Source organism: Homo sapiens, chromosome 2 (assembly GCF_000001405.40).
Source record: "Homo sapiens chromosome 2, GRCh38.p14 Primary Assembly".
NCBI classification, from domain to species: Eukaryota; Metazoa; Chordata; class Mammalia; order Primates; family Hominidae; genus Homo; species Homo sapiens.
Window position 1 is genome coordinate 37,641,556 of NC_000002.12, and position 19,786 is coordinate 37,661,341.

At 43.5% G+C, this 19,786-nt stretch overlaps 1 protein-coding gene across 7 annotated transcripts in view, besides 5 other annotated features; it reads right to left on the reverse strand.

Moving 5' to 3' along the window:
- Positions 1 to 388: 388 nt before the first annotated feature.
- The window catches only part of CDC42EP3 (CDC42 effector protein 3), a 31,006-nt gene continuing 11,608 nt past the window's right edge, over positions 389 to 19,786 (reverse strand). For 6 of the 7 annotated variants that reach the window (NM_001371569.1, NM_001270436.2, NM_001270438.2 and 3 more), the window contains exon 2: positions 389 to 5,267. In NM_001371569.1, coding sequence (NP_001358498.1) covers positions 4,268 to 5,032 — 765 coding nt within the window. In that variant the 5' untranslated portion in view covers positions 5,033 to 5,267 and the 3' untranslated portion in view covers positions 389 to 4,267. Of the gene's footprint in view, positions 5,268 to 5,838; positions 7,890 to 19,786 lie in introns of those variants that run through there. The other variant, XM_011532482.4, reaches the window with a different exon arrangement.
- Positions 10,705 to 10,894: an enhancer, noted in NCBI's record as "active region_15596". NCBI's record gives its function as "activates an Ori minimal core promoter by ATAC-STARR-seq in GM12878 lymphoblastoid cells {active_cell/tissue: GM12878}" and the evidence as "EXISTENCE:reporter gene assay evidence [ECO:0000049][PMID:35858748]".
- Positions 12,517 to 12,726: an enhancer, noted in NCBI's record as "active region_15597". NCBI's record gives its function as "activates an Ori minimal core promoter by ATAC-STARR-seq in GM12878 lymphoblastoid cells {active_cell/tissue: GM12878}" and the evidence as "EXISTENCE:reporter gene assay evidence [ECO:0000049][PMID:35858748]".
- Positions 13,394 to 13,453: an enhancer, noted in NCBI's record as "active region_15598". NCBI's record gives its function as "activates an Ori minimal core promoter by ATAC-STARR-seq in GM12878 lymphoblastoid cells {active_cell/tissue: GM12878}" and the evidence as "EXISTENCE:reporter gene assay evidence [ECO:0000049][PMID:35858748]".
- Positions 14,851 to 14,970: an enhancer, noted in NCBI's record as "active region_15599". NCBI's record gives its function as "activates an Ori minimal core promoter by ATAC-STARR-seq in GM12878 lymphoblastoid cells {active_cell/tissue: GM12878}" and the evidence as "EXISTENCE:reporter gene assay evidence [ECO:0000049][PMID:35858748]".
- Positions 15,417 to 15,922: an enhancer, noted in NCBI's record as "OCT4-NANOG-H3K27ac-H3K4me1 hESC enhancer chr2:37884115-37884620 (GRCh37/hg19 assembly coordinates)". NCBI's record gives its function as "activates a minimal SCP1, AML or CMV promoter by ChIP-STARR-seq in primed H9 embryonic stem cells {active_cell/tissue: H9 hESC(primed)}" and the evidence as "EXISTENCE:reporter gene assay evidence [ECO:0000049][PMID:30033119]".

The window sequence follows — 19,786 nt, forward strand, 5'->3', positions numbered from 1 at the left end:
GTCTCTCCCTCCCCAGAACTCAAAGCTCTTTTTTCCCCCAGTGACCCTTTTGGCAATGAATCACGTGCATATTTTGTGACACACTCCAATAATCACTTCATGGTGAGCATAATACCCACTTCACTGACTCAGCTTTGCTCATTTTGATGTATGGCAGACATCTCTGTCTGCGTGATGAGTCTCTGGAATATTAACTCTATTCTGCACGATGGCTTTGCTTTGGGCAGATGTTTTTATCTATCACCCGTGTCGATCTGTTTTCCATGAGGGAAATTTGGCTGACCTTCAGAGGATGGATTACTGATCTCCCGGGAGCCAATGGAAGTGACATCATTAACGGATTTTTTTTTTTTAACAGCAAAAATGGAAGATAATTAAATGCAGCACAGTAGTTGTAAAACAGATTTCATTGTGTTATACATCACTTCATAAAGTAAGCATAGTTCCCATTCTTCCACATGATGCTTTTTGCAGCATTGTACCACAGAATAATGACTCCCTAATAACTCAGCTGAAAAATATTTAGATCTACTTGCTCTAAGAATAAGGTCAACATTAAACATTCTCAGATGAAAAGCTTGCTGGATGAAATAGTGCACCATCAGAATAAAGCATGCAATATATTTACAGTCAGATGAAACAAGTGTGTCCATAAATCAACCAAAAGACCATCTCCTCCTTTAGGAAATACATGTATTGCTTAGCCAGTACCAATAAGTTAACGTCGTGTGAATAATTTTGGGTATTCTGGCCTTCCTGAATCTCATACAGCCAAACCAACCAGAAGGCTTCCCCGCTGGGTTGATGGTGGCTTATCATTTGGCATCTGGAAACTTCTCTTATTTTGCTGGATATGGCTGTCTAGTGGGTGGCTTACTGACTTGCCTAAGAAAAAATAAGTCAATCATTCAGATTAATCTGGGAGGCTAATTCTAAAATCGGATTTTATGAGAATTGCTAGATTTGGGGCTAGGTTAACCTCATTTCCAAAAGAAAAACTCTTACTGGAGAGAAACCATCATGTTGGCTCATTCTATTGTGTTTATATATTTCACAGTAAAATGATTCAGTCTTGCCAGGTTCCATATTAGGAGGATTAGAACTACATCACTCAATATTTTCTTTTGTCTGTTCTAAAATATTTATCAAGTTAATTTATGGACTTATGGATTTTTTCCATTCCAGGACTTCATTTGCGGGGAGCCTTCAGAAAAAACAGGTCACTTGCAGTAATATAGAAGGACTAAACTGTGATTCTGGAGACCCGGGTTTCTCTTTGCTGTTCAACCAGTGTAGTCTTTTGTGTGTGCTGTTAACAGTGATTTCTGGCTCAGTGAAATGTGATAATGACTTCATATTTGTGAAGAGCTAAGTATCCTGATATTTTGATCTTTTCAAGCAGATAATTTCAGGCAGAAATGATATAGCTTGTCTTTTGTTAGGTCTCACTAGGGGAAAAAAATCGCTCACAAGAGCCTTGCCTACCTCAACAAGAAGTGTCTCTACTTATACAAATGGCATGGTTTCTTTTCTGGTTACTGGGTCACAGGTGGCTCGCCATTTGCTTTGAGTTTGCAAATAAAGTACATCTTGGGTTTCCTTATCTTTAAACAAGTAAAGATAAATTAGGTTAAAGTGGGAGAAGGTTCACAGGATGAGAACATCAATTCAGCTCACAGCAGGTATGGGTCTAAAGTGCCTCTCTGCAGGAAAGAAAGCCACCACCAGCAGTCCACCTGCTCTCAGGGGAAGGGACCAGGCATTGGAAAGGCTGCCTCGGGAGAAGTGACTCAACAAAATCATAAGCCGCATGTAGCTTTGTTTCCTCTTTCTAATACGGGCATATTTATTGCCATCTCAATTATACCTAATTCAATTAATGGAAGAAAATGTACATGAAAGAACTCCCAGAAACTAAAATGGCTAACTGTAGGCAGGATGTGTGATTAATATTTAGAATCTATCAAACCCAGTACTGGCAGGGCTGTTCTCTCCCCAGTACTTACCAGAGAGGGAGTAGAGCTAATGCACAGCCATACTCCTCCCCTTTTCATGAAATAGTTTCATCTTTACCTTGAGGTCACGCTACAGATGAAGAGTAAAATGAAAGACTGAATATGATCAATACTAATTAAAATGGGGGGGAGGTATTGAAAAGAGTCTAAAATTGGCTACAAATAATGAGATACATTGGACTCTTCGTCATTAACAAGATTTAGAATAGGCTGGGAAATTTCTCTTTGGAACTGTGAACTGTGACGGGTGTGGTCCAACAGAAAAAACACTGGAGAGTCATGGATAACGAAATACAACTGAGAAGTTACGGAAAGCACACAATGCCCTAGGGCAAGCTTGTCCAACCTGTGGCCCGCATGAAGTCCAACACAAATTTTTAAACTTTCTTAAAACAGTCTGAGATTTTTTTTTTTTTTTTTTTTTGCAATTTTCTATTTTTATTTTTTTAAGCTCATCAACTATGGTTAGTGTTAGTGTGTTTTACATGTGGCCCAAGAAAATTCTTCCAATGCGGTCCAGGGAAGCTAAAATATTGGACACCCCTGCCTAGGGGAACTTGTTTCGTCTACTTGGTTAGTTGTCCTAATTGCATTTTACCTGCAGTCCAAAGGTTATTTTAGATGATAGAACTGCAAGAACCCCAAACCCAAAGAAAGAATCGTTGAAGTGGTTGGGAGAGGAGGTCATTTCTGAGATACATTTCCAGGAGAAATACAAGTTTGAGAGAAGGAGCTGGTAGTTACTGTGTGCAAGTGTTTTTCTTTGATGGGGAAGGAGTAGTTGGCAAAGGGACAGGAATCTGTGTGTACATTTCCTGCTCCTGTTTCCTTAACCACCATCCTCAGGGCATCTCTGGCACCTTGGGGTCGGGTAAGTGCTCTCTACTGCCCTCGTTTTAGCTGCCTTTATCTCGTCTATATGGCACTTTCTGCGTGAAAAGACATTTGCCTTACAGGGATGAAACTGGACTTGCAAGAGTTTGCTGTAGAAGGTGTTCAAGTCAGGAAGATGCTCAGAAATGACCACTGAGAGGGTGGCATCAGTGCTGACTTAAAAAAAAAAAAAAAAATCTGACCTCACATGTTCATTTTTCCAAAAGTAGAGAGGCTCAGTTTCTAGCCTCTCAAACCATAAGGAAGTAATCAAAATGAGAGTAGATGGAAATCATCTCTTACCTTAAGGGCTCATGTACATTTCAGAGAAGCAATTTCTCTAGCTATACTTATTCTCTTATGGTCTTGTTTATTACTATAAACAAGCAAGTTCACTTTATCATTTACTTTTTATTGTGTTGCTTGAAGTACCTATGTAATGCAAGTATGTACTGTACTAAAATACCTATATTTCCAAATAACATATGTGGTGTAGCCCACAGTCTCTGCAGAAGCATCATGAGTAACCTGTGCCTTTACACTTTACAATCCGTTATTGGTTGCTGTTAAAAGTATGATAACAGATGAAGAAAAAAAAACTAAGTATGAATACACTTTTCCAAACACGCACATACACAGCTTACAATGGAATCCCAATGGAAATAAGTGACAACATCTGATGTAGAATCTATAAAATGTAGACTCTGCAATAAAAAGCCAAAGGCACGTAAAAATATATTTTAACTTTAAAAATAACTTAGTTACAGTAATACTTTGCCTGTGTCTTACCAACATGTAGCTGACAGTCAAAATTTTGCAATATAGATATAATATATAGGGATATATAAGAACTACAAGAAAATCCCCAAAACCCATAAAGTTCAAATGTGAAAACAGAAAAGTTTTAACACTGGAGAATTCGCTATGGTGAGCCTAAGCAATATATAGAAAAGAGTCTACAAAAAGGCTTAGGTGTTAAATAAATTTTGACTTCCTCTTGCTCAGAAAATGTCGGAGTGCTATAAAGTTCCGTGAAGTTCCTTAATGTGACTCGCTCAGCCCTTCATAGCTAGTGCCAATCCTGGCCAAGCCAGATTTCTTGTGTGTCTGCAAACAATATGTGAGCCGAACATCACCAATGCCTCCTGAAAATGGGCTCTGACTCACTTCCTTTTTTTGCCAAGATAGGTTTTGCTTTGTTGTTTTTTTCTAAATTGTTTTTGCAAACAGGGCATAACAGGTAAAAAAATACTTTGTAAGAATATTATTTTAGAAAACCCAACACAAAACTGCAAATACAGCTCCGGAAGCCCTTCTCTTCAACTGTGGTTAGTTTGTTTTTGTACCTTTTACCCCAAAGGAAAAAAGTTGGCATCTTGTTACTTATTTTTATCCATTACATTCAGCACCTCATCCAAAAGTGAGGGCCCAAGATCAAGCTGCAGGGAGAGGAGGGAACCTGTAAGGTCAGAGAGGGACTCCTCTGACTTAGTCTTTCCCTTGATGAGCTCGCATGGGGTGGGATGGTCAAACATGTCCTCGGCTGGCCAGTCGGGGTACTGTTCGGACAGGCTGGAGGAGTGGCTGTCTCTGCCTTGGCTGGACTGAGATGCAGAACCGCTGGAGCCCCACGAGGTGTCTCCCTGGTGGACTGTCCCATTCTCCAACAGACTGCTTTTCTCCTGAGCTTTTTCCTCCATGACGGGCTCGCAGCTAAGCCTGGGCAGCTTTGCTGGCCCGAAGGACTCCTGTTTGGAATTAAATGTCACTGGTGACAATAAGGGCAACATGAGAGCTTGGGATCCTCCAATGGTCGGGAGGGAGATGGCATTTTTGAGCACCGGGGAGGGCGTTTCTGTGAACACAGAGTCCGAGGTGCTGTTGGCCCGGAAGAACTCATTATGCCCAGGGAACTGGCCCAGGTGTGCTTTCTCCTGGTTTCCAGGTAAAAGCTCGTAGTTCCCTTGAAGAAAGGAAATATCTCCAAAGACATCGTGCTGGCCCTCTTTGCCAATGTGGATGGTGTGGCGAAAGTCTCCAAGCGGGGGACTGATCATATCAGGAGACAGAATGTCCCTCAGTTTAAATTTCTTTCCTTTCTTGTTATTGGCTGCTTTCAGGTAAATTGGGGTCTTGGCTGGCATTTTGGAATTTGAGAATGTCTATTTTGCAAGCGGGAGAAAGGGCCACTTTCTTCACAGATGGTATATGTTTCTGAATCCTTTTTGATAGGAACTGTCACATCATTTTTCTCAAGTGGCTTCAGAAGTGGCTTCGAAATGAGATGGGGTCAAAGAGAACCTTCCTGAGGTTACGGCCAAGTGAGGCTTCCTAGAGAGCCAGTTACATCATCCAGTCTTGACCACAACCAGGACAAACCTGCAGAAGAAACCAAAGCAGGTTATAAGCTAAAGACCCTTTTGGGTGCCCTAGGGCCTCCCTTTTCACAAGAGCCTGTAAATAATGGCAGGGCCAGTTTCAACTAATGCTGAACTTATTGTTTCCCTCCAGTAAGTGGATAAAAATTTTCATCTTAGAGAAAACAGGAAAGAGAAAGACCTAAAAACCCCATATCTATGACACCAGTACTTTTTAGACATAGCCATGGGCACATCTTCTGGACATGTCTATGGTTTTAGTCATTTTCCTCTAAGAATTGCTGTAAGCATAGGATCAGTGATTTCAGCTCCTTAAATACAACTGGATTTGTTTTAAAATACATTTTCCTTTTGCTTTGATGTGCATACTAGCAACACTAATATTTCATTGTTGAGTTCCATATGTACATAAGTTAATGCAATAAAATGAACAGTCCTAAAGGAAAGGTGCTGGAATTATTTAATAAGTGACAATAACTATTATATGCTACTGTCCTAAAAATGTTAGTGGAATACATTCTTACAGATAAGAAAACGGAGATTCAGGATAAGCCCTTCCCCTAGAAAGTTACCTTTTCTCAATAACATATAGCCAGTAAATAAGAGAGCTAGAGTTGTAATCAGGTTGTGGCAAAGTATTGGGCTGTCGAGGATGTCAGGATTTGAAGTCATTCTGAGATGGGAGGAAATGAACAAAACTGCTTCACTTCAAAGAGAAAACATTGTGAATCTCTATTACAGGCTGGGCCTTCACTTGGGAACACTTCTGAAACATTACTGATAAGGCTATATCCTCCATGCAGTAGGCAGAATTCGAAGGGAGCCCCCATGATCTGCCTCCTGGTGTTAATGCCTTTGTGAGTAGAACCTGTGACTGGCTTCTAAACAAGGGAATGTGGCAAAGGCAATAGGTCCCTGATTAGGTTACATTATAGGAGATTTCATCTGAGCTGACAAGGGAGAAGACTCCCTGACTCCCTTTGCTGGCTGTGGAGAGGTGAGCAGTTACACTGTGCAAGGGCCTATGGAAATGAAATCTGCCAACAATGTTGGGGAGCTTGGAAGTAGATCTTTTCCCCAGTTGAGCCTCTGATGAGACCACCACCCTGACCCACACTGAATCATAACTCAGGGAGATGCTGGAACTCAGCCCTGCCCAGATTCCTGACCCACAGAACCTGTGAAATGGTAAATGTTGTAAGCCCTCAAGTTTGTGGTCGTTTGTTACCAGTGTAGAAAGCAACACATCCTCCCTGCACATACTATATGATAAGATTAGGAGGGATGAGCTACAAGGCATTGGGGTTGTAATGTGCTCTTTTGCCAATGAGATGCTCTTATCTCTTGAAAATAATCCTCCACCTCTGATGCTGACACAGAGAAGCTAAACCCTTTCCCACTGCAGGAACTTCCCAAATGGCTCTGCCATGACCTCTTCCCTCAGGCGCTCCTCCCACTGGCTGCAGAGCCTGCAAATAAATACTCCAAGGGCTGGGTGGGTTAGTTGGTGTTTTGAAGGGAGCCACATTTGCTTGTAGCAGCTGGAGGCTGTCTGCATCTGCCCCATATTTCTTTCCTTTCAGCAAGAGTTTTAAATTCATTTACCAGTGGCAGGTGACAAGAACTGTGCTCCACCACCCACTGGCTCAGTAACAGCTAACTCAATTTGGGAAGCAGCTAGCTCAGCGTGTCAGCATGCTGGCCAGCAACCCAGGCCGGAGAAGGCTGAGAACAATGCACTAGAGAGAGCCAGCCCCACTCGGGCTTTGGGTATGGGGAGGAGGCAGAGAAAGTACGAGGAGGTTTGCATTCATGCAGAGTGGGCTGACCATGGGGCTGCCAGCAATGACATGATCGTGGGTCCTGACACTCGTTCTCATAGTTTTAGCTCTAATTTGGGTCTTGTTGTGGTAACAAAAGTTGAAGCCCATGTTCTTCCTGTTAAAACATCAGAACTTCCTTCCTGTATGAGTGTACAATGCCTAGTCCTGGCCTCGGGCCCCCTGCTGTTCAGAGGTGGCCTCCCTGCCCTTTGGGCACAGTGTGGCTGACTGCCTGCAGGAGCAGCTGGGTGGCCTGAGGAACAGCTGCCCACAGGAGTGGTGTCCTCAGCACACACGGCCAGGAAGGCAGCTGCCATGGAAAGATACAGCGTGTCCACCACAACTCAAGGGCATGCCAGGGCTGCCTGGGGTCAGCTGATGGAGGCAGGGTTATGCAAGGCCAGGTCCCAGGGCAGGGGGTTCCAATTATTTAAAAAAAAAAAAAAAAATCGATCACTTAAGGCCTGGAGTTTGAGGTCAGCCTGGGCAACATAGCAAGACCCTGTCTCTATGAAAAAAAAATTAGCTGGGCATGGGGGCACCCGCCGGTAGTCCCAGCTACTCAGGAGGCTGAAGCAGGAGGACTGACTGAGTCCAGGAGTTTGAAACCAGCCTGGGCAACATAATGGGACCTCATCTCTACAAAAACTTTCTTAAAAAATTAGCTGAGAATGGTAGCACACACCTGCAGTCTTAGCTACTTGGGAGGCTGAGGTGGGAGGACTGGTTGAGCCCAGGAATTCAAGGCTGCGGAGAGCTATGATTGTACCACTGCACTACAGCCTAGCAAGGCCTTGTCTCAAAAAAAAAAAAAAAAAAAAAAAAAAAAAAAAAAAAATCCCATGAAAATGTAGCCAGAGAGCAGTTCCCTGCCACTCTGACTGGATCATTCACATACACCCTTGAATTAAACAAGGATTTGGGACAGTGAGGAGGAAGAGCAAAGGGGGAGAAAGTGTGTGCTGCTGAGGGTGCAGGGGAGGGAGGGCCCAGTCGGTAGGCTGGTGGGGGCTGGGCACCCACCAGGGAGCAAGATGCTCGTCAAGCCCCAGCCTTTGGTCAGTCCTTGCCCAGCCACAGGCACCAGCACCAGGGGCCTCCAACCAGAGGCTCACTCATCCTGCTTGAAGTGGGGCTTCATGTCGGTGGCATGGAGGCAAAGGTTGGAGGGAAGCAGCAAAGAAAAAGGCAAGAAAAGGGTTGGTGGGGAGGCTACCTAAGCTGTAGTGAGATTCTGGTGAGTAGGAGATACTGGAGAAGATACCTTCAGAGGCATTTTGCTTTCTTTCTACAAATATTTACATCATATTTACTGCATGATGGGGCATAGGCTTCTAGGACTATAGAAAAAAATAATTTGAATTGAATCTGAATTGCCAATCCTAACAGCTCCCAAATACCCTGAAAGTTAAGAATTTTGGGCAAAATGTCAGTTTTACAACTCTAGGTAAGTTGACGTTTGTGCTGCTGGGAAAGTATCTGGCAGCTCTGATCTAGTCCTTCTATTGCATCTGTTCTCTTCCTCCCCAGCTCAGGGGCAACCATGATTGATCCCAGGAGAGTCAATCCAACGCTGATAATCCAATGCCCATAATTTCTCGAACTGACCACTTCCTTCTCTCTCCTTTCTGAACATTCTGGGCTAAGTCCATGCAGCTTGATCAGTTTCCCCTTCTGCTTCCTGGGCTCACTGCTCTTTCAAAATCTTTGCCAATTACTTACTTAGGCAGAAACCTAATGGGATAGTTTCTTCCCTAGCAAGAAGTGGCTGCTCCTGGAGAGGGTATGAGCATCTCCTGGGTACCAGCAGCACTTGATACAAGTCGGTATTTGTTGAGGGCTTCTCTATGTACCGAGCATTGTTCCAACCCTTGACATGGACTAGCTGAGGAAGCCATGAGGCTGTTACTGTGACTATCCTCATTTTACAAATGGATCACTACTGACGAACTGATATCCAGCCACTCTGCCAAGGCTGCATGGCTACCAAGCACGAAGCCACATGGCTGGGCTCTGAGCTTTGAGGTCTTGACATGATATTTAATGAGCACCCTCCCTGGGAATTCTGTCTGCTCCCTAATTATGAAAGGGGTGCATTCCAAAGCCTGTTTAAAACACAAATGTGTGGCAATGTGCTGGGCTGATGAGGATGGGAAACAGGCCCTGCATACACTGACAGTTGAAGTATGAACAGGTCCAAACTCAGTAGAGGCAGTGGGGCAATATCTATCAAAACTGCAAATCATATGCCCTCTGACCTCAGATTGCACTTATAGGGATTTACCCAACTCACAGAGAAATAACAAGGCTGTTCAAACCAGCACAGTTTATAACAGTCAAGAGTTGGAAACAACCTAATTGTCCACCTATGGAGGACTGGTTCAGTTAAGCGTATCCTTCCAAATAAATACTACTCAGATCTAACAAAGGATGAAGAAGTGCTTAATATGCTCATCCGAGAAGAGCCCAAAGATGTACATCATCAAAGGAAAAAAAAAGAGGTGCAAATGCGTGTATTTATATTTGTACTGGCTTATCTATAGAGTATTTCTGGAAACACACAAGTAATAATAGTGACTGTCCACAGAGAGGGGAAGTAGATGGAAGGGGAACAGGGTGGCAAAGAAATTTCACTATCCTTTTATGATTTTGGATTTTCAAATCATGTTAATGAACTGGCTATTTTTTTTTAAATCACAAATATATAAATGTGTATGCAGGGCTCAGATTAGGCTTTCCTGGAGAGCCAATTTTATACATGGCTGTTAGGTCCTGAAAAGCCTACTATGAGTTACTGATCATAACACAAACATCAGGAAAATGTGTCTAAAAGCAGCATCTGCAATGGCAGTGTGTGGGTATATGAAGACTTCACAAAAGGCCTGAGCCACGTCTCCCCTGACCCTGGCTATGGGACAGATCACTTTTTGCTTCTGTGATCAGGCCTTCACCAAAGAGGCAGCATGGATCTGTACTTTGTAAAAGGGAAGAGATCTCAGAAGAGAAACATTTGTAGTCGGAAAGGAAAGTGAGAAAATTCAACAGGTGGGAGAGGATGCAGGAGGAGCTGCTGGCCAGGGCATGAGCGAGGAGGGAAGTGCAGGCAGGTGGAATCGCCTGGGCCCGTGAGGACAGCAACTTGTGCAAGGGTGACTAGTGACACACACAGATAACCTTTGATGATGGAATGGGCCTATATGCCATGACTTGAAATCCCATCCCTCCTCATCATTTTAAGAAGACACCTGGGGCCGGGCATGGTGGCTCAAGCCTGTAATCCCAGCACTTTGGGAGGCCGAGGCGGGCAGATCACAAGATCAGGAGATAAAGACCATCCTGGCTAACACGGTGAAACCCCGTCTCTACTAAAAATACAAAAAATTAGCCGGGCCTGGTGGCAGGCGCCTGTAGTCCCAGCTACTTGGGAGGCTGAGGCAGGAGAATGGCATGAACCCGGGAGGCGGAGCTTGCAGTGAGCCAAGATCGTGCCACTGCACTCCAGCCTGGGTGACAGAGCAAGACTCCCTCTCAAAAAAAAAAAAAAAAAAAAAAAAAAAGAAAATAGAAGACACCTGGGTTCCAGGAGACTGCTGGTGAATGACCAACACATCAGAACAGTCAGCATGAGTCAGGGGAACCCCAGGGCTTTGCGTTCTGCCCAGAAGGAAGAAGGATCTGCTTGGAGGAAGGGATGCTGGGAAAAGAGAAAAGGAGGAGCTAAACAGGAAAGGCTTACAGGCCGGAAGCGAATTACCAGACTACAACTAGGGAGCGGGCCCTCCTGGGTGTTCCACAACCCAGATGAGAGAATTTTAGCTTTCTGTCTCAGTCAAAACTCTCAACACCAGCATTAACCTGTGGGCACTGAGCCATCTGAGGGTGCTGAGCACATTCACTCGTGTCTGTCCTTTCCTCATCTTGAACCCCTTTCCTGCAACCAAGGGTCAAGTCATGTGGTCACCCAGGCTGGAGTGCAGTGGCATGATCACAGCTCACTGCAGCATCGAAACCCTGGGCTCAAGCCATCCTCCTGCCCCAGCATCCTGAGTAGCTGAGACTACAGGTGCACAACACCATTCCCAGCTAATTAAAAACAATTTTTTTTTTTTTTAGAACAAGGGGTCTTGCCATGTTGCCCAGGCTGGTCTTGAACTCCTGGCCTCAAGTGATCCTCCTGCCTCAGCTTCCCGAGCAGCTAGGCTTACAGATGAGCCTCACCATGCCTGGCTCTCTAGTTTTCTTGCATTTCTCTACTCCCACTATCTTACCTAAATCTTAAAAGACAGACAAAGGTTCTTATAGTTAGCCCTTTCTCAAAAACCTTGACCCTGAAATTTGAACTTCCCACAATTATTCCTGGTTTCTTTCTAGTTCCACAAACTTTCTCCTAGTTCTTGGATCATGGTTTGTTCCTCTTTCCCTTCATAGATAACACTGGAGATAACATTCATCTCAGAAGTTAGATTCCTTTAAAAACAAATGCTCTAGTTCCTGGGGCACTAGAGAGAAAAGATTTGCCAACAAAAGGGTCCAGCTTGCCAGTCAGTCATGTGGCAGGTCAGAGAGAACACATGTGGCAGGCAGACAGGTGGGCACAGTGCTGCTGAGAACGGACATGCTCCCTTACAGGTTGTGTGAGAAATCCAAGAGTTTCAATACACAAAAGGACCGGAGAGGAAGCTACGGCCCTGGTTTTTATAAGGAAGGAAGAGAGCCGGGTTGCACTAGGCTAGACAATTCTAGTTTCTTGTGACTGACTGAAGCGTAAATGACAGTGATAATGATAGAAATAATCACAGCAGTAATAAATAATTTGGTTAAGAAAAAAACTGAAGCGGTGCTTTGCTTCATTTCTTACCATCTTTTTGGCAAACAGAATGATGCTGAAAATATCAAAACAGGGCAGCAGCCAGGAGGAAGGGAAAATCAAGCGGTTTTAAAAAATGACAGACAGAAAAATCAGCTCCTAAGTTACTTAGAGTTGATGCACTGGCAACTTACAGGACTCTGAAAAGAACCAAGGAGTTGGGATATTTTTAAAATTCCATTTATTTTAAAGGAATGTTTGGTTTGCCTACTAATTGTTTTTAGATTAATTCTTAGTGGAGAGAAAAAGTAAAAAAAAAAAAAAATTGCATCCTGCAAAACAGGTTGCAGTGTTAATTTAAAACACACATGTATAAAAATGGGCAGGTGGGTTGAGGGGTGCTACTGCCCCCAGGGACCTGCGGCTCTGTTCTTTTCTCCTCCTTGCAGGAAGTGAGCCTGCATCCGACTTCCCCTTTCTGGCTCGGTTGTCACATCCTTCAGGGACATTCCAGCTTCTGATCACTTTTCGCTTTGCCTCAGCACAGTCGCACTATGCGGCCAGTCACGGCACCACTGCACTACTGCACCATCTGAGCCCCATGCCAGAGTATCCAGCGACTCCTCCTGCATGTTGGAACCAACAGTCCTAGGGGAGGATGATGACTCGGCCAAGTACCCTCCGCCGCCTCCCTACCCCCAACCATCTGTGGGCTATGTCTCTCTGCTGCCAACCAGAAGATAATAATTCCACTGTGCCAAGCGCCCAGAACATGATCCTAGGCTCCACATTTAGAAGGGATAAAGGCTACCTGGAACATGTCCCCGCATGTTCAGAGGGAGGCAAATGGGAGGAAGTGAAGGAGCTCGATTAGGACATGTGAGAAGAGGCTGAAGGAATAGAGCAGCTTAAAGAGAACTCATAGAAAGAGAAAACTAATCTTAAGGGATCTGAAGGATTCATTTAATTGTAATGAAAAGGAATTAACTTGTTCTGGGAGGCCCTAGAGCTACCAAGCAGAAACTACAAGGAAAGATTTTGGCTCCTCCAAGTAACAGCTCAGGTTTCTCAAAAGATGGAATGGGCTGGGGTGGGGAGGGGACAGCAAGTATGGCCATGGGATGAAGCTCTCACAGAGGGGAGGGCGGTTACCCTGCGCCTCCCTGACAGTGCGTGAAGGGAGGTGTTCACGTTCCCATTTATTCTGAGTTTCCTGTATGGGAACACGATCACTGCCAATTTCCTTGTAGTCCCATGTCACTTTTCCATAGAAAAACGCACACGGACTTTCCCTTGAAGAAGCTTTCTCTTTGAACACGGCAGTCTTCTTACTAATATAGAAATGACCAGCCAATCTTTGGGATCAGAAACACTAAAATATTACTACAATGTGGACGCTCATGTCAATCCTTTTACAAACCTCTGTAGGAGTGCTTCTCTGAATAATTTTAAAATTGAAGGGGAAAAAAACCCCATAGTGTTAGATTTTCATTTAAGTTCAATGCTGAATTTCTAAGGCGGAAATCAGTGTAACCAGAAGCACCCAGTAACCCGAAGGGGATGCTTTTCATATTTTCAGTCTGTTTAACTCCACCCATTTGAGAAGATAAGAAGATGCCTTTTCTATTTTTAGATTCTTACCCTCTCCCCATATCATCTAAACTGAGGACATAGCTCTAAGCTTCAAGACTATGAAACTCTATTAGCTGGCTCCCCAGCTGCTGAGCTCTGTTATGCAAATGAACTTAGCCAGAACGAGCAGGCGGTATTTTAAAGACCCATTCAAAGTCTGATACATCTCACCTTCCATTATTTTAAAGGACTTTCATTTGTGATTCAGCTACAGCTTGAATTTATTGTTCTTTTACAACCCTGATTATATACAGACCCACAAATACCATATGTGAGACTCAGTGCTAATTTGTGTACACGTCTCATTTTTATGGGATCTAATTTGAAAGATCTCTTAGAAGCAAAATTGGAAGACAGAAGGTCCACCTCACATAGCACCAAGTCTGCACTTTTGAACAGAGGCCATTAGGACCTTTTTTCCTATAAAAATGAGTTACTGGGGAAGACTCAATGTGGACATAGAACTCTGGCAGTTACAACAAGGCAGGAGGAGGGCAAGTCCTCTCATGCCTGGTTCATTTATCAGGACGTGTTGTACATGGCACCAGGGCTGGTCAGAAGCACCCAGGCAGGCACTCTAGTTTCATGGATGTGAATCTCTGATAAGGCCATTGCTGTGAACTGCTCACGTGTTTCCATAACTAATGGATCTGACTTGGTCTGTGATGCTGCAAGGACAATATCAATACAGGAAGAGAACTTGACTCTGAAGTTTTCAGCAGTATTCAGCCAGGATATTCATTCTAATCTCTGCTCAAAAGCAAGGAACTTGCTCTCAGTTGCTCACAAAATATTAATATTTAAGTCAGCAATTATTCTATGCAGTACTCCAGTTCTGGTAATGGTAATTTCAAATGATCCCAAATAATAAGCTGACACTGTCCAGAAATTCAGATTATGGTCATTTAACCCATACTACCTTGGAGGGCAAAGTTCCTAGCCATTTGCCTTTAGGCCACATTCTCAAGTTCTCTGATGGGGTAAAGGGACAAATACAGGACTTCCATGCTATTCTGCCACCCTGCTAGGGCTGTCTACAATAATCCACGTTCCTTGGATGGGCTGAAACATGGCTTTTCTGTATGATACCAGCACTGGCTATATGTGGAATCTGGTAGTCGTCATTCTACTCTCAATCTACTTCCACTACCAACATCCTTGCGTTATTTGTATATGTGTTACTACAAATATATTTGTTGAATGATTTCCCTCTAACTAGGCTGAAAGCTCTTCTGTGGGCATGAGCTTATTCATCTTTTGCCTCCCACAACACATGGCCCACAGTGAACTTCAAATTCACAAGTGTTAAATCCATAACCCCTGCTAGACTTTCCATCATGAGAGCCAGGTTGACTTGCTCCCGGGGGCCAAACCCTAGAGCAAGTCTACAGAGGCTCTCTGGAAAGTGACAAATCTGAAATGCTTTGTTCTCTAAATAATTTACACCTGTGAAGAGTACTAGCTAGCATGAGTGCTTTCTGTGGGCCAGGCAGGCATGTAATGCTCAGAGCATACCTCTTAGGAAGCAGTCTTAGATGAAGCCTGTGTCTCCAGTCAATCACCCAAAATGTGGAGGAGCTAGGATTCCAGCCATAGCTGCATTCTGTAGCCACTGCCGATTTGATAACTCAAGGACTGCCAACCTGAAGACTATGTATCTTGAAGTCTGACAGCACCAAGAGGAAATGACACACCAAGAGCGCAACACGGATGAGAGGTGGAGATGCTAACCTGACCTTGTCAGAAGCCAAAAATGAGAAGAAGGGTCCTAGACACTGGTCCCTCCATCTCTAACTCACTAGGACTTTTCAGTATTTTTGCTATTGTCAACAAGAATCTCAAAAGGAATTTGACTTGTGGTAAACGTCAAAAGATTTGAATTGTAAAGTAACAAAGCCCCCCCCCCACCCCCCGCCCCCCGCCATCCTCGAGGAGAAAAACAAACATCCTGTTCTTAGAAAATCGTGTTAAGTGCTGTTCATTCTTTTCCCAGAGGAAGCCCATTGCATGCGACAGTGAACAATCACAGGCTTTCACTGGGGACAATAGCTCCCTAGCTTCCTAACTGACACTTCATTTCCCTCCTAACCTGAAACTAAGAACCTTGTGTTCCCTACATGGAAAGCTCTCCCACCTTCTTACCATCAGCCTCTATTCACAACATCCTCTGAGACCTGCTCCAGATGCACTTCCTTCCTGGAGGAAGTCTACTCGAATGCACCTCACGTAATCCAACCTTGCTACTGCTTTGCTTAGGGGTTTTCTTAGGGGTTGTGGAGGGCTTGTATTATGTGATTTGTTGTTTTCCTGTTTTGTGGTTTTAATGCCTGATATTTCCAGGTGGCTGGTGAGCTCAAAAAGAATAAAGTAAGCAAAAGGGCTATACATGAGTGTTCCTGTTGGGAAAACTCTCCTCCTTTTTATGCTGAATCACTTACAGAGCCTCCTCTTGAGCTGGGGACACAGAAGGCCCTCAAATCTTACTGAATAAGCTCTTCTAGTTTTCTTTCTGACCATCCCTTAAGTCAAGGGTCTACAAGCTACAGGCCGGCCAAATCCGGCCCCCTGCCTGTTTTTATAGATAAAGTTTTATTAGAACACACCTATGCCTATTCATTTATGTACTGTCTACAGCTCAGTGGGGTTCTCAACTGAGGGTGATATTTGTTCCCTATGCGATATTTGGCAATGTCTGGGAATATTGTGGGTTTTCGTGACTGGGGGTGGTGTGCTCCTGGCATCTAGTGGGTAGAAGCCAGGAATGCTGCTAAACATCCTACAGTGTACAGGACAACTCCCCAAAGCAAAGAATTATCTGGCCTCAAATCTCAGTAGTGCTGAAGTTGAGAAATCCCAGTAAAGGTGCTTTTGCTCTATCAGGTCAGAGTTGAGTAGCCTGTGACAGAGACTGTATGTTGCTCTCAAAGCCCAAAGTATTAACTGAGCCCTTACAGAAGAAGTCTGAACCCCTGTCTTAAATGTTGGCATTTTCATAGGGTTGGATGGCTGCTGCCCATCCCCCACTCCTCAACAATTCCCCCGGCAATCACATACCACCTCTAGGGATAACTTCCAAGTCAGTACCTTCAACCCACATGCATCTACTTAAGTCCAGACCAGTGCTACTCAAAGTGGGTTCATACAGTCCATGATGAGATAAGAACAGAAGTTGGAAGCAAGATCTTTTTGACATTGCCTTAACATCAAGCATGTGACCAACAGATTTTTTTCTTACTGAATAGGCTATTGACAAGTTTGGGAGCTGTATGCTGTTGAGCTTGCATGGCGGTTGTGTGTGGCCCAAGCTCCATATTCCTTGTGCACAGTAGTATTGTACAATGGATTGGAAATGGAAACAAACAAAAAGACAGTGGCCCTTCCCAGAGAGTTTGAAAAGCATTGATTGGCCTTTCCCTTCCCTTATATTCCAGACTTCTCTACTTTGCTTCCCTTGTCCCATATAATACTCATAAACCTTGCCCCAAATGGGATTTGCCATCTTTCTTCCCCCTGCCTGCCTTAGGCATCTGCCTTCCAAACTATGCTTTCCTGGTAAATGGCAGAAGTCACTCAATTCCAAAACCCAGCTATCATCCCAGCACTTCTCCCCGCCTCCATCTCTACATCAAGTCCTATAGTCCTATCAGTCTGTCTGGACTGTCTCTCCTCATTCATCCCTGCTCCATCAGCCTTACTCCTGGCCCCCATGATCTTTCTCCTGCACAAGGACATTTGCCTTTCACCTACCTCCCTGCCTCCCCGGTCCTTCCACCTTATCTTCCAATCTACACCAGAGTGAGGTACCTAGAATCCTCATGTAACCTTATCACTCTCTGCTTTAAAACCTTTCAAGGGTTTTAAGGCTACAGCTTGGAGATAAGATAAAATAGCTTGTGAAGCCCACTTCAGCAATCTGGGGGGCCTGCCACACTTGCAACTGAATCTCCTGCCAGTTCCCCATGGCATCCTAAGCTCCCATAGCGTCCTGTGTACACCTCAAACCTAGCAACTATCACACTGGATTATTACCACTACTTATTTAACTCTTCCCCAATCAGGCTATAATCTGGGAGAGAGAACGGAGATCTTATTCATAGCAGGTATTGAAAAAAATGTTGAATGGATAAACAAATGAGAAAGCTTGAAAGACATTGCTGTGCCTCTTCCTCTTTAACCCTGCCTGCTCTATTGAAAATGCAAGATGGAATCTATGATTCTTACAGAAGAAAACAAACATGTAACAAGAAGCTGTCTCCTCTTTTCTTGTGGCAAAGGCTTTCATTTTTCCATCTGTAAGCCATTTTAACCTTCCCCTATCCATGCAGGGTAATAATTTAACAGTGTATCAATGCAAGCCAGAGTAATTCTACAGGACCATACAGATCTTTGGCAAATATACAGATAAAAAATATAGATCTTAAGGCAAATATTTGTGGACATGCTGTTTGAAAGAGATATGACTCCTATCCCTGAATGCAATGTGCAAATAGTGTCTTAGGTAAGACTCAAAGAAAATTTGACAATACAGTCCTCTGAATTCAAACTCAGTGACTCTACTTAAATCAAACTTAAAGAATGAGGCCCTGGAGAAACAATGAACTTGCTCTTTTCTCTTTTCAAAAGGAGATGTGTTAAGGGAGAACTTGGCTCATTTGGCCTAAAATGTACAAGGAAACCTCAAGAAACTACAATGGACAGTCTATAGAAAAGGGTTGTTTGGAAGATCAATGTGTGACTGGCACAGATCAGATATGTGGGGAAAAATAAACCTATCAAAACATTTGCCAAACCAAACCAAATGAAACACCGACTGTACGGGCCAACGAAACTGCTATCTCACTGCTGTTCCTGGCCTGAGCGGGGGAAGAGCTGGACCAAAACTATGAGCCAGCCCTGTAAGACGCAGAAGCCCTGATACACTGGGTACCAGTTACCTTCATGTAAAATGGAGATAATCATCCCAAACTTTATAATAACCACAGGTGTTAGAGCTGAGTGTTAAAATCTACAGTGCTATGTAAACACAAGGCATTATCTTTTCCCCAAATGAGACCAGACTATCTACTGAAATACAGAGTGGAGGGGAAACTATTCTCATTGCCAAAATAAACACTTCTATTTTCTCCTTAAATTTCGCCTGTACCACTCATTAATAAAATTGTTGCAGATGAGGCTAAAATGGTTCCTATTGATCCTGTGGACAGTCTCCACAGTTGGAAGGGATTCCTACCACCAGCTTGATTAGAAGTTAATTCCCCTGTCAATGGGACATAGGGCTGGGGCTATCTTCTCATTCACACCTACATGCATCGGTTATCTTCAGTTGGGGCTCTTCCAGCCTTAGGAACAAATGAAACGTCCCGGAGTTGGGAAAATTACAACAACTGCTATATAGGTCAGATAAAAGTGGTGTTTTCATACCAACTTGGGATCTCTTACAGTAGCCCCTGACCTTAAGACATAAATAAATACAAACAATCTAACATTTTTTTTCTCCTAAATTCTCTGTTGACCCACTTACTTTATCTTATGGATGATTTTAAGAGGAAAATCCTTTTACTTCCATTTAAATTTCATTTTAAGTTACTTTGGTTTTACTTTTGTTCATTTGGTTTTACTTTTTAAGGAAAAAGGAAGCTGAGACCAAAGGGGAATGTTACCTTCTCTGATTTATTCAACTTCTATTTTGCGTCTACCTTAAGGTTAAAAAAAAAAAAAATGGAATGAACCTCAAAGTAGCAGACCTGGAAATGATGGGATCTGGAGGGTGTAGGGTTAGGGAGTGTGCACAACTAACCCTGTCAAAGGGAAATGGAAGGCCAGAGTGGACCAGTAATCATTGGAAGGGACTTCATACCATATGGGAGTCCAGATTTCCAGGCTTGATGAGTAAGGAAGAGCCTAAGGTCCTGAAATCACTTATTTCCTTTTGATCATGAAACCATTTATGAAAACCTTGTGAAAAACTATAGGGAGTAGTATGTATGTATGCATATGTATGTATACTATATATAGTGTGTGTGTACAGTGTGTGTGTGTGTGTGTGCGTGTGTGTATAGTGTGTGTATATATATATACACACACAGGCAAATGATTTGATTTTCCAAAAAGAAGAGACAATTACTTGTGACTACTATCACATGTATCTTCAGTAAAGGTCTGGGTTTTGAACACTTAGGGGATATATGCTCAGTAGGCACTGATAAAAAGTTCACTGGCACCTCACTTGCTTACATACATGACACAGTTGCTAGATGG